This window comes from Homo sapiens, chromosome 6, assembly GCF_000001405.40.
Source record: "Homo sapiens chromosome 6, GRCh38.p14 Primary Assembly".
In the NCBI taxonomy this organism is placed as follows: Eukaryota; Metazoa; Chordata; class Mammalia; order Primates; family Hominidae; genus Homo; species Homo sapiens.
Window position 1 is genome coordinate 73,769,171 of NC_000006.12, and position 13,881 is coordinate 73,783,051.

Genomic DNA, 13,881 nt, shown 5'->3' on the forward strand with positions numbered 1-13,881 from the left:
TGAGCCACTGCGCCAGGCCTGTACTTTAGTTTTGTTGAGAATTATTACTCTCACTTTGATTGTTAAAATATAATACAAACTTCTATTTTTTTAGCTTATGAAAAGAGTTCTTAAAAAGATAACACTGTGTTTTGTTAGTGGTAGAGCACAATTTTTGACTTCTAGTGATCCTAGTAATTGCCTGACAAAGGTGAATTTTAAAGTAGAAGTTATGGAGGCTTAAACATCTCAGAAAGCAAGACCAGGTTCTAAAGCTGGTTACAGTGTAAAAGATCACGGACTTTGAGGAAGCAGAGTATATGAATAGCATACTTTCAAGTAATTTCTTAGCTATAAGAGAAAGGAATTAGTTTCAGTTCCATTTGCAACTATATATCTTTCTCTTATTTTTATGTGATAATCATCACATTTATAAAGAAACAACATAATTAGAAATGGAATATGTCTAAGCAAGAGAAAGTTAGTGAATGTTTATTAATGTTCAGTAATGACTATGGAATAAATAAATGAGCTGTAGGAGCGGCAAGAGATTTAGGTTTAGAAATCATCCACACAGAAGTGCAAGTTGAAGCCATGGGGCTCTGAGGTACAGAGTATAGAGTGAGAAGTACAAGGTCTAAGACTGAGTCTTGAACATGCTGCTCCCTCTCCCCCATGCTTTAGTGTGTAGGTGGAGAAAGTAACCTACATACAGTGGTTTGAGAGGCATGTCAGAAAAAAATTGCACTGGACAAGTTAAACAGGTAAGGAAGGCTTTATTCAAGACTATTGCAATGGAAGAGAGAGATGATAAACTCAACTCTGCTGAAACAAAAGGCAGAAGAGTTTTTAAGCACTGGGGTGAACTCATATGAAAGTGCTGGAGGACATTGTTGGGAGGTTGGTCAATGTGATTAGGTAGTCTGTGTTTGCTAATTAGTACTTACTGAAGTTAGGTTTCCACCCTCCCACAGAGAATGAGATCAATTGGGACTCTGTCTTTCTTGATGATTATACTTCAAAGGGATGGCTCTGAGGACCTTGAGAAAGACATGCCTGGGTTGTAAAACTGGCCAGAGGCTGGGAAAAGATTTACATCTCAGAGAGTTGGAGAAAGAATTTATAATTGCATGTTTTCTAAAATAAATGCTCTAAGAAAAGGGAGCTCAGGGGCTTATAGTTAGGAAGAAGCCTGTCTTTGTAAAGTCGAGTCAACTTGAGGGGAATGTTAAGGCCCTCTTTGTCAGGCATTATAATCATTGGCACAGCAGAATGTTGAGATAGAGCTAGATGAAATGAAAATTCCCAGCAGGGGCCAGGCACTGTGGCTCACGCCTGTAATCCCAGCACTTTGGGAGGCCGAGGCAGGCGGATCACCTGTGGTCAGGAGTTGGAGACCAGCCTGGCCAACATGGTGAAACCCTGTCTCTACTAAAAAAGTTACAAAAATTAGCCGGGCATGGTGGTGGGCGCCTGTAATCCCAGCTACTTGGGAGGCTGAGGCAGGAGAATCACTTGAACCCAGGAGGCAAAGGTTGCAGTGAGCCGAGATTGTGCCATTGTACTCTAGCCTGGGCAACAAGAGGGAAACTCCATCTCAAAAACAAAAAAAGAAAATGCCCAGTAGGCAGGGGCCTCATGACAAGGCCATTTGGTTCAGCGGTGATGCGATGACTGATGCTCTTTATAAAGTATTAGTAGGTCCAGGACCATGCTTTCCTGAGGGTAATGGTGAGGAAGTTTAGAAGGCCATGGAGACAGAGCATGAGGGCCTGGACTAGTGTTTGCTCTAACCACCCACTCCCTTGGAAAGGCCACCCCTCACCCTCAGTCCAGGTGGTTCTATGAGTCCCCGAGGAGCTCTCCTTGCCTTCACTTCTGAGCTCACGTCACCAACATGTAGGCATCTGCAGTTTCTTTCCTCTTTCGTGTTTCTCCTTTGTATACTGGCCTTCCCCAGGTATGCTAGACACTGCTGTCTTCTACTCAGCACTGGCTGGGATCTGAGGGGTGGGAGATGGAGAAAGGGAAGAAAAAAGATACAGAATTAAAGAATAATTCAGATTTATACCACTGTGAGAAGTTCTATGACTTGCAAACACTCTGGGCGTAGTTTTTTTATTCCTTTCCCTAGAGAAGGGTTATGCATGGTTTTAGAATTATCCCTGAGCCAAGGCAAATGTAGAATCTTTGCTATATTTTGGGCCAGTGGTCTGCTATTGGCAAGAATATGCTTTAAAAAAGTGAAATAAGTTAATCCTCCTTTCTCTCTTTTTTAGATAAAGCTATATTGGAGTAAAGTGAAAGCTGAACCATCTGAGAAAGTCTCTCTTAGGATCTCTGTGACACAGCCTGACTCCATAGTTGGGATTGTAGCTGTTGACAAAAGTGTGAATCTGATGAATGCCTCTAATGATATTACAATGGAAAATGTGAGTTTAGCTATTTTTTCATTATGAAAATATGTATTACAAGAGAAAGAGGAAACTTTATTGTACTACTTTAAATATTTAAAGAAAATTTCATTAGTTCCTTTGCATGTGTAAGTCAATAATTAGTAAAGCTTCCAAATAAAAAGTAATCTGTATCGTAATGGTTATGTTGGAAAGAAGCTTATGTGGTTAAGTGTCCTTGCTCTCTTTCATCAGAATTATCACCTAAAGTTAGATGGGAGGAATAAATTCTGGAGGTCTGTGGTACAACATGGTGACTGTAGTTAATGATAATGTACCATATACTTGAAAATTGCTAAAAGAGTAGATTTGAAATGTTCTCACCACAAAAAATGATCAGTATGTAGTATGCAAGGTGATAGATATGTTAATTAGCTTAATCATTCCACAGTATATACAAATATCAATATATCACATTGTACTCCATAAATATATACAATAAAAAATGCCACCTATAGTTTTCCTTCATTTTCATACTACATTTTAAGACACTCAAGAAAGTACTAGGAAATTGACTTGCATTATTCTGGGTTACGTTGGATAAGAGAGCTTTAGATAATTTTTGAAGTGTGTTCTATTTTGGTTATACGTAATGGTTATAAATAATTACAGCACCCATTGTGCCGGGCATGGTGGCTCATGCCTGTAATCTCAGCACTTTGGGAGGCCGAGGTGGGTGGATCACGAGGTCAGGAGATCGAGACCATCTTGGCTAACATGGTGAAACCCCATCTCTACTAAAAATACAAAAAATTAGCCGGGCGCGGTGGCGGGCGCCTGTAGTCCCAGCTACTCGGGAGGCTGAGGCAGGAGAATGGCATGAATCCCAGGAGGCGGAGCTTGCAGCGAGCAGAAATCGTGCCACTGCACTCCAGCCTGGGTGACAGAGCAAGACTCTGTCTCAAAAAAAAAAAAAAAAAAAAAAAAAATTACAGTTCCCATTGAATCAGGAATTTGCAGTATATTGAGGGGGTGAAATCATGTTACTCTGCAGAAAACTTACAAACCAAGAAGTATATGAACATCTAGCATTGCATAAATGAATCCCATATTCATTAGTCATTTGATTTTTATTTATATGTCCTTGATATATTCTTGTGTACCATTGTCAGTTGTAAACTAGATTGTATAATTTTTGTCTATTAATGGATTCAGTAGAGTGATTAACAATACATCAGAAAGAAAACTATATATAGTTGGGTTGATTTGGTCATTATATTGTAAAATTTAGTTTACTTCAGAAAAATTGTACATTTTCTTCAGTCTACACAACTATTTTTTTCAATCTTTTCTTTTTTTTGAAAACTTTTTTTTTTTTTACAACCAGTTGGTCATTTTTCTCTCTTTGACTTTTCCTGAGTTCACATTAGTTTTATGTCTGTAGATCTTGCATTTGATTTAACTGAATATAATAGTATCTGTTATTTTATAGCTTTCTAAATATCTTGGTAAATATATTATTTCATTTTTTCTTCCCTACATATGTGTATGTTTGTGTGTGTGTACGTGTGTGTATACATACACATACACACACACCCCATCTGATGTGCTGCGCACTCTGTCTCTATTTACATTTATATATGTGTGTTATATATATATTTACAAGTATATTTATATATACATATAATATATGCATATTTACATTAAATTTTTTCAGATATTAAGATTGCTTTCTCAGCTTTCTTTTGGTTCATATTTTCCTGGTGTATTTTTACATTTCTTATTTTCAACCTTTTGTAAATTTTTAAGTGTATCTTTTAAATAGCATATTATTATATTTTGCTTTTGTTTTTCAATCTAATCTAATAGTCAACATCTTTTAATAAGCTTTTATTTAATCCACTTATAAGTATGGTAATTCTTTTTCTAATGGGGACTTTTTCTGCTTTTCTATATTTTAAAATTTAGATTCTTTTTCTGTGGGCTAGATTAAATTTGTTTTGGTGATTTAGAAGTTATGCGTTCTATTTTTGTTACTCTGTTAGTTACAAACTGTACCCATATTAATTTATCCTTGTTGGTTTCTAAAGGTTATCAGTATTTGAATCTTCTAGTATGCTCCTATTCCTTTTGGTCTCTACCTCTGTCTCCTCCTTCTCCTCCTACCCTGGCCAGATCATTTTGCTCGTGTACAGATTTTAGTTCCATGTTACCATAGATTGCCTTTCAATCTATGCTGTTCTTTCATTTTTTAATTGTGGAAATCTGTGTTGATTATTTCTTCCTCCCCATTTTATTTTTTCTCTCCTTCTGGGACTTTTGTTTTTCAGAAATTGGCACTTTTACTTCCTCCTTCACATCTCTTAGTTTTTTGTTTTATGTTTTCTATCTCTTTGTCTTTTCTGTGTTTCTCTGGGAGAGTTCTTCAGTCAACTCAGCTTAGTGATCATTCATTAGCTGTATTTTAATCTACTTTAATCTCTCATATTGTGTCTTTTATGTCAGCTATTATGTTTTTAATATCTATTATTTTTCCTTTGTTTCTTGTTTTTGTTTTATATTCTGATATTTCCCATTATCTCCTTGTGTATATTTGCTATGCGTATTTTAAATTATTGAATTGAACTTTTCAGTAATTTTGTGTCACATGCTATATGTTGTTTAGTTGGATGTCTTACTTCTACAGTATTTATACTCTTTGGAAGTCTAGCTGATTTGGCAGATTCTCTGATAATATCTATTGGTGAAGGCTGAGCATAAGGTTCCAATCTGTGTAAGTCCTATGACCCCTTCCTGAGGGGAGAGGACTAGCCTCATGGACTAGAGAATTACTCTTGATCCTTTCTGCTGCTTGCCTCTATTCAGTGTTTCACTCTTAAACCCTTGGGGAAAAGAGCACCAGTAAGAGAAGGTCTCCTGAGGTTATGATTCACCAGCCCTGAGGGTTTGGAGGAGGAGGAGAGGAAGAGTGAATGCTTGAGGGACATGGGTCTGTCTGCATGTTTTCTTCACTTTCCCACACTAGAAAGGCAGAGGTGCTGACCTGGTATTATCTTTTGGATACTTGCACAGGCCGTCTGAGCTGCTACTGCTGTTGATTTTGGCAGTGAAGTTGCCAGGACTGTGTGTCCTGAGGCTACCCCCTGGAGGGAAATAAGAGCAAAGTTTAAAAACCTCTCCTCCAGCCTGTTTTCTGACTATGTCTGCTGCTGTGTCTAGCTGCCTTCTGCCTTAGACTGAAGCGATGCACTTTCTCCCAAGACCAATTCAAGATGTCCACCACTCTTCCTGGGGTTTTCTCACTGTGCACGTTAAAGTTTTCTGCTTGCTTTTATTGTTTCTCCAGTTGGTTCTGGAGGAGGGAGTGAGGATCCTGTCATAGTAGACTGTTTTGGCTTCTTTTTTTTTTTTGTTAAATTTATATGTGTTGTCAATAGCCTCTTGAATGCCTTGGAATAATTTCAGTATGTGGATCTTCCAGGAATAATTTTTAGACATTAGCCTTCTTTTCGTTAGCCTATGCTGCAGCTTTGACAGTGCTTTGTTTATTGAGCCAGTGAGAACAGGAAGATTTCTTTATGAGATAGATGCTGCTTTTGCTTTTTTTAAAATAAATTTTATTGTGTATATTTGAGGTTATGTGTATATATATATATGTATATATGTATATATGAGGTTATTGTGTATACATGAGGTTATGGAATACATATAGGCAGTATAGTGGTTACTGTAGTGAAGCAAATTTACATATTTATCATTTTGCATAGCTACATTTTTGTGACAAAAGCAGTTAAAATCGATTTAATGAAAACTCCAAATATCATACAATTCTATTAACTATATCTCTCATGTTGTAGATTATATAACTGCATTTTTTCATCCCACATATCTGCTATTTTGTATCCCTTGACCTCTATATTCCCATTTTCTTCTTCCTTTCCCCCTCGCCCCTGTAACCATCATTTGTTTATCTATTTATTTATTTAAACTTTTAAGTTCAGGGATACATGTGCAGGTTTGTTACATAGGCAACCTTGTGTCATAGGGGTTTGTTGTACAGATTATTTCATTACTCAGGTATGAAGTCCAGTACCCATTAGTTATTTTTCATGATCCTCTCCCTGCTCCCACCCTCCACCCTCTGACAATCTCTACTGTGTGTTGTTCCTCTCTATGTGTCCATGTGTTCTCATCATTTAACTCCCACTTATAAGTGAGAACATGTGGTATTTGGTTTTCTGTTCCTGAGTTAGTTTGCTAAGGATAATGACCTCCAGCTCCATCCATGTACCTGCAAAGGAGATGATCTTGTTCTTTATGGCTGCCTAGTATTCCATGGTGTACATGTACCACATTTTCTTTATCCAGTCTATCATTGACGGACATTTAGTTTGATTCCATGTCTTTGCTTTTGTGAATAGTGCTGCAATGAACATATGCATGCATACATCTTTATAATAGAATTATTTATATTCCTTTGGATATATACCCAATAATGGGATTGCTAGTATTGAAATGGTGTTTCTGTCTTAAGTCTTTGAGGAATTGTCACATTGTCTTGTACAATGGCTGAATTAATTAACACTCCTACCGACAGTGTATAAGTGTTCCTTTTCTCTACAACCTCTCCAGCATCTGTTATTTTTTTGACTTTTAAATGATAGCTATCCATTCTGACTGGTGTGAGATGGTATCTCATTGTGTGTTTTTATTTTATTTTATTTTTTTGAGACAAAGTCTCACTCTGTTGCTCAGGCTGGAGTGCGGTGGTGTGATCTCGGCTCACTGCAACCTCTGCCTCCCAGGTTCAAGTAATTCTCCTGCCTCAGCCTCCCGAGTAGCTGGGACTACAGGTGTCGCCTCCACGCCTGGCTAATTTTTAAACTTTTTTAGTAGAGAAGGGGTTTCACCATATTGGCCTGGCTGGTCTCAAACTCCTGACCTTGTGATCCATCTCCCTTGGCCTCCTAAAGTGCTGGGATTGCAGGCGTGAGCCACCACGCAAGTGGCCTTTTTTTTTTTTTTTTTTTTTTTTGACAGAGCCTTGATCTGTCACCCAGGCTGGAGTGCAGTGATGTGATCTTGGCTCACTGCAACCTTCACCTTCTGGGTTCAAGCGATTCTCCTGCCTCAGCCTCCCAAGTAGCTGGGATTACAGGCGTGAGCCACCATACCCAGCTGATTTTTGTATTTTAATAGAGACAGGGTTTCACCATGTTGGACAGGCTGGTTTCAAACTCCTGATCTCAAGTGATCCTCCTGCTTTGGCCTCCCAAAGTGCTGGGGTTACAGATGTGAGCACTGTGCCTGGTGGCCTCCTTATGGTTCTGATTTGCATTTCTCTAATGATCAGTGATGTTGAGCTTTTTCTCATATGATTGTAGGCCTCATGTATGCATGTATGACTTCTTTTGAAAAGTGTCTGTTCATATCCTTTGCCCATTTTTTTTTTTTTTTTTTTTGAGATGGAGTTTCCCCCTTGTTGCCCACGCTGCAACCTCCACCTCCCGGGTTCAAGTGATTCTCCTGCCTCAGCCTCCCAAGTAGCTGGAATTACAGGCATGTGCCACCATGCTTGCTAATTTTGTATTTTTTAGTAGAGATGGGGTTTCTTCATGTTGGTCAGCCTGGTCTTGAAAACTCTTGATCTCAGGTGATCTGCCTACCTTGGCCTCCCAAAGTGCTGGGATTAGAGGCATGAGCCACTGTGCCTGGCCCCTTTGCTGGCTTAAAAAAATTTTTTTTTTCTTGTAAATTTGTTTAAGTTCCTTATAGATGCTGGATATTAGATCTTTGTCAGATGCACAGTTTGCAAAAATTTTCTCCCATTTTGTAGGTTGTTTACTGTGTTGATAGTTTCTTTCACTGTGCAGATCTCTTTCATTTAATTTGATCCCATTTGTCAATTTTTGCTTTTGTTGCAATTGCTTTTGAAATCTTTGGCTGTTCCTATGTCCTGAATGGTATTGCCTAGGTTGTCTTCCAGGGTTTTTATAGTTTTGGGTTTTACATTTAAGTTTTTAATCCATCTTGCGTTAATTTTTGTATATGATGTAAGGAAGGGGTCCAGTTTCAGTCTTCTGCATATGGCTAGCCAGCTCTCCCAGCACCATTTATTGAATAGGAAATCCTTTCCCCATTGCTTGTTTTTGTCAGATTTGTTGAAGATCAGATAGTTGTAGATGTGCAGTCTTATTTCTGGGTTCTCTATTCTGTTCCATTGGTCTATGTGTCTGTTTTTGTGTGAGTACCATGCTGTTTTGGTTACTATAGCCTTGTAGTACAGTTTGAACTCTGGTAGCATGATGCCTCCAGCTTTGTTCTTTTTGCTTAGGATTGTCTTGGCTATACGAGCTCTTTTTTGGTTCCATATGAATTTTAAAATAGTTTTCTCTCGTTCTGTGAAGAATGTAGTAGTTTAATAGGAATAGCATTGAATACATAAATTGCTTTGGGCAGTATGGCCATTTTAACAATATTGATTCTTCCTATCCATGAGCATGGGATGTTTTCCCATTGGTTTGTTCATCTATGATTTCTTTGAGCAGTGGTTTGTAGTTCTCCTTGTAGAGATCTTTTACCTCCCTAGTTAGCTGTGTTCTTAAGTATTTTATCTTTCTGTGGCAGTTGTGAATGGGAGTTTATTTCTGATTTGGCTCTCTGCTGTGTGTTGTTGGTGTATAGGAATGCTAGTGATTTTCACACATCGAGGCTTTCCTGAAGTTGTTTATCGGTTTAAGAAACTTTTGGGCTGAGACTATGGGGTTTTCTAGATATAGGATTATGTCATCTGCAAACAGGGATAGTTTGACTTCCTCTCTTCCTATTTGGATGCCCTTTGTTTCATTTTTTCTTTCTTTCTTTTGCCTGATTGCCCTGGCCAGAACTTCTAGTACTATGTTGAATAGGAGCGGTGAGAGAGGGCATTCTTGTCTTGTGCTGATAACCACTGTTTAGATGCTGCTTCTTGAATTGGTGTCTGAGCAAGAGCGGAAGCAAATCTTCATGTATTTGTATTTTGTGACAGAGTTGGAGTCATGGAACTCTAGCCTTTTCTCTCCAATATGCCTGGCTCTGGCTCCCTTGTCTACTTGCCAGCTTCTTGACACATTATGAATTTTTTTTCTTATTTTATTGTTTTCTTATTGGTGCCTGTTCTAGTTGCTTACTGTGGATGCAGCCATGGTTGTTGTTAGCATTGCAGAAATAGTGGTTGCAGGTGTTTAATTTTATGCTGGAATGTGTTTTTTTCAACTTAGTTTTTTTTGTGATTTTTAATTCTGACTTTGTCTTAATTTGTCTGGTTAATGTAAATTTTTAGGGAGAAGTATCAAAATTATTACCTAAAAAGGTATAATACTTGATTTTTATTGAAGTTAAATATATATAAAATAAAATTTGCTATTTTTACCATTTTAAGTGTTTAATTCAGTGACATTAATTACTTCACAATGTTATATGACCATCACCAATATTTCCAAAACATTTTCATGGCTCCAGACAGAGACTCTGTAATCATTAAGCAATAACTACTCATTTCCCCTTCCCCACAGCCCTTGGGAACCTCTAGTCTACTTCTGTCTTTATGAATTTACCTATTCTAGATATTTCACATTTATATAATATTTGCCCTTTTGTGTCTGGCTTATTTCACTTAGCACAGTGTTTTCAAGATTATTCCATGTTGTAGCATGTATCAGAGCTTCATTTCTTTTTTTTTTTTTGAGACGGAGTCTTGCTCTGTTACCCAGGCTGGAGTGCAATAGCGCGATCTTGGCTCACTGCAACCTCCGCCTCCCGGGTTCAAACCATTCTCCTTCCTCAGCCTCCCGAGTAGTTGGGACTACAGGCGCCCACCACTACGCCCAGCTAATTTTTTGTATTTTTAGTAGAGACGGGGTTTCACTATGTTGGCCAGGCTGGTCTCAAACTCCTGACCTCATGATCCGCCCGCCTCGGCCTCCCAAAGTGCTGGGATTACAGGTGTGAGCCACCGCACCTAGCCTCAGAGCTTCATTTCTTTTTACGGCTGAATAATATTGTGTTGTGTATATATACCACATTTTGTTTATCCATTTTTCTGCTGATGGACACAGGTTGTTTCCACCTTTTTGGCTACTGTAACTATTGCTGCAATGAACGGTGGCATACAAGTATCTCTTGGAGTTACTGTTTTCAGTCCTTTTGTGTATATACCTAGGAGTGGAATTACTGGGTCATATTCTAATTCTATGTTAATTTTTTGAGGATCTGACAGTTTTACTCTTTTAGCCTGTTTTACCCACTCTTGCTAGCAATGAGTACTATTCTTAAAAAAAAAAGCATTGCTAATGGGGTACATGCAAATATCTCATTTTTGAAAAAACCGTATCTCATGGATGTTGTCATTTGCATTGCTTTGATTATCAGTGAGGCTGAATATTTTTCTGCTTATTAATAACTTATATTTCTACTTTTGTAAATTGCCTCTTCAGTTTTTTTTTTTTTTTGTAAATTTAGGTCACTGACATTTTGCAGAGTTTATATTAATCTCCAACAAAGTTAACCTGTTTATCTCTGCCAAAAGTGTGGGTCATTTTTAATGCTGACCTCTGCCTGTTGGTCTTGTCAAACAGTAACATCTAAGTTCTCCCTGGCAGAACTCAAGTCCAGACTTCTTAGGAACTCTGGATTGCTGAACAGAGTAAAAGTAAGTATAAGTAAGAAATGTAATTTTGGCTGACTGACTGATGAACAAAGCAATTACATATTCATTACTCCTCAATTTGTGTCATTTTCAAAGTTGATAAACATGAAGGCTAAGTCTTATCTAAGTTACTTGGAAGAAGTGTGGAAAGTTGTTATGAATCCATTCATTCCGTATATTTTATCTTCTCCTTAGGTGGTCCATGAGTTGGAACTTTATAACACAGGATATTATTTAGGCATGTTCATGAATTCTTTTGCAGTCTTTCAGGTATGTTTTGCTTGCTATATTGAAAAGATATTAATATTTTTTACTATTGCAAACCCTTTCAGAATTAGTGATCATTTTGAGATGTTAACCTTTTATTAAATGTGTCACTGAAGCGCAGTCTTATGTAAGTATAATTTGAAATGAAAAGATAATCATCTTTCCAGTTTTAAAAGCAAATGGAACAATTCACCATTGGAAAAGTTAATGGAATTGACATTAAACAAATAATTTTTCCTTTATGTATATGTATTTCCATATAAATATATTTTATGTATATATATAATATATAAATATATTTTATGTATATATATAATATATAAATATATTTTATGTATATATATAATATATAAATATATTTTATATATATTTCCTTGACTTTGAAATGGCTCTTATGCATGAGTGTGTGTGTGTATGTGTGTGTGTGTAAGACTGATGTGTGTATGTGTGTTTGAGAAAGATCAATGTGTATGTGCGTGTGTGTGTTTGAGAGAGATCGATATGTGTATGCGTGTGTGTGTGTGTTTGAGTGAGAAAGATCGATGGGCATGTGCGTGTGTGTGTTTGAGTGAGAAAGGTTGATGTGTGTGTGCGTGTGTGTGTGTGTTTGAGTGAGAGACAGAAAGGTTGAATGTATGTGCATGTGTATACCTAAGCTCTCAAAAATGAGCACAAGTGAGTCAGGAGTTTGGGAGACTGCCTTGATAATTTAGTGAGCATTTAAACTTGTGTTTTAAAAGAAAATAAAAATTATTCTTTTTAGGAATGTGGACTCTGGGTATTGACAGATGCAAACCTCACGAAGGATTATATTGATGGTGTTTGTAAGTAATACATGGCGACATGCTTGTATTTGTCTTTCACATGATATTCAACATTACTTATATAGGTATGGATATTTTTTAGATGAACATAGAGATTGTGATTTTCATTTTTTTGTTCTCTTCTCCCAAAATGTTTGGAGTTTAATGTACTTAGAAGTACATCTGGGCCATGACATGGAACGTTCATCTGAGCTCCTGTCTAGATATTTGAAGTGAATGCTTTCCTTTTTCTCTAGGTAATTCTTTGAGGTAGTTATATTTTTGGACATACTGGAAGCTGCTTTTCTTCTGATTTGTATCACAAACTGTCCTATTCTTTTGGAATTATTTAAAAGGAGCAACATATTTTTGAAATATTTTTGTACTCCAGCTTTTTGATGTTCACCTAGAAAATAGCCCAGATGCCATCATGCCATAAAGTATTCTGGTACACACACACACACACACACACAGACACAGACACACACACACACACAGAGACATAGACACACACGCAGACACACACACACACACACACCCCTCATCAATCTGAGTTCTTCCTGGGCAGGATTATATCTGTACATCCTAGTTTCTTGAATTGCCAAATAGAGTTGGCTGCCAAGTAATAATAAGTGTGCTTTTAGAAAGACGTCATAAAATGTTTTGACTGAAGGAAATGTATAAATGTATAAATTAGAATGGTTAACCTTAGAAGGGATTCTCTTTTCTTTCAGGTTAAGTTATACTAACATCATCTTGAAAGGCTTCTAGAACTGTCACAGTTTCTATCCCTGAATTCCCTGTTTCTGTCAGGTATTCTGTTATTCCATGCTAAGCCCCCGGGTCTCTTTGGGCTGGTTCTTGCCCCAACAGGACACCTGATCCTCTGTCCTGAAACTTAAAAGATAATTTTATAGTCTTGAAGATGTTATGAAGTCATTATGATCTCTCTACATTAAAGACATGTGGTACATTTAGCTTTCCTCATATAACCCTCTATCCTAGACAATCTTCCAAGCATGTTTTTCCATTTTTCAGTCTCAGTTTTTACCCATCTTTGTTCTTTTTTACATATTGAATCCTTCTTGATGCCCACTGTAATACCCATTCTATTGCCAGTAATACTTACTGTATCCTTTACCTTTTCTGAAAACCTTCTTCTACCTTTTCACTGTAACAGAAGGAACCTGATACTCTCACTGGCACATTATGTCTCTGGACACCTCAAGTGATTGACATTCATTTTGTATGTGGAGTTTACAATTCATTCTCTCCAGTGACTGTTTTTCTAACTACTGTCAATGTTTATTTATAGATGACAATGCAGAATATGCTGAGAGGTTTATGGAGGAAAATGAAGGACATATTGTAGATATTCATGACTTTTCTTTGGGTAGCAGTCCACATGTCCGAAAGCATTTTCCAGAGACTTGGATTTGGCTAGACACCAACATGGGGTAAAAATTTATAAAGTTCTTTGCCCATACATATTTTGTTTAGTGTTTGTTTTAAATAAGCTTTGCCCGCTTTCTAATGTTTAAGTACAAACATAGTGTAACTAAGAACTAAGTAGACCAAAAGGATTTTTTAGGAAATGATATTTATTGAATCTAAATACAGTTTTTGATAAAGCCACACATAAATTATGGCAGGAAGGTCTCATCAATGAGAAGATAGGCCTTTTTTTTTTTTTTTAACTGAAGGGTGATTTTGACTTCCTTGAAGTCTCATGATTCTTGTTGAAGAAAAATTG

The 13,881-nt window shown here is 37.2% G+C and overlaps 1 protein-coding gene across 10 annotated transcripts in view, besides 2 other annotated features; it reads left to right on the forward strand.

The window, feature by feature from the left end:
• The window catches only part of CD109 (CD109 molecule), a 149,122-nt gene that overhangs the window by 89,979 nt on the left and 45,262 nt on the right, over positions 1–13,881 (forward strand). For 9 of the 10 annotated variants that reach the window (XM_047418211.1, XM_047418212.1, NM_133493.5 and 6 more), the window contains 4 exons: positions 2,259–2,411; positions 11,254–11,328; positions 12,089–12,149; positions 13,444–13,585. In XM_047418211.1, the coding sequence (XP_047274167.1) occupies positions 2,259–2,411; positions 11,254–11,328; positions 12,089–12,149; positions 13,444–13,585 (431 nt within the window). Of the gene's footprint in view, positions 1–2,258; positions 2,412–10,891; positions 11,062–11,253; positions 11,329–12,088; positions 12,150–13,443; positions 13,586–13,881 lie in introns of those variants that run through there. The other variant, XM_047418217.1, reaches the window with a different exon arrangement.
• Positions 5,116–5,410: a silencer, noted in NCBI's record as "tiled region #9272; K562 Repressive non-DNase unmatched - State 24:Quies". NCBI's record gives its function as "represses a minimal TATA promoter and a strong SV40 promoter by Sharpr-MPRA in K562 cells {active_cell/tissue: K562}" and the evidence as "EXISTENCE:reporter gene assay evidence [ECO:0000049][PMID:27701403]".
• Positions 5,116–5,410: an enhancer, noted in NCBI's record as "tiled region #9272; HepG2 Activating non-DNase unmatched - State 24:Quies". NCBI's record gives its function as "activates a minimal TATA promoter and a strong SV40 promoter by Sharpr-MPRA in HepG2 cells {active_cell/tissue: HepG2}" and the evidence as "EXISTENCE:reporter gene assay evidence [ECO:0000049][PMID:27701403]".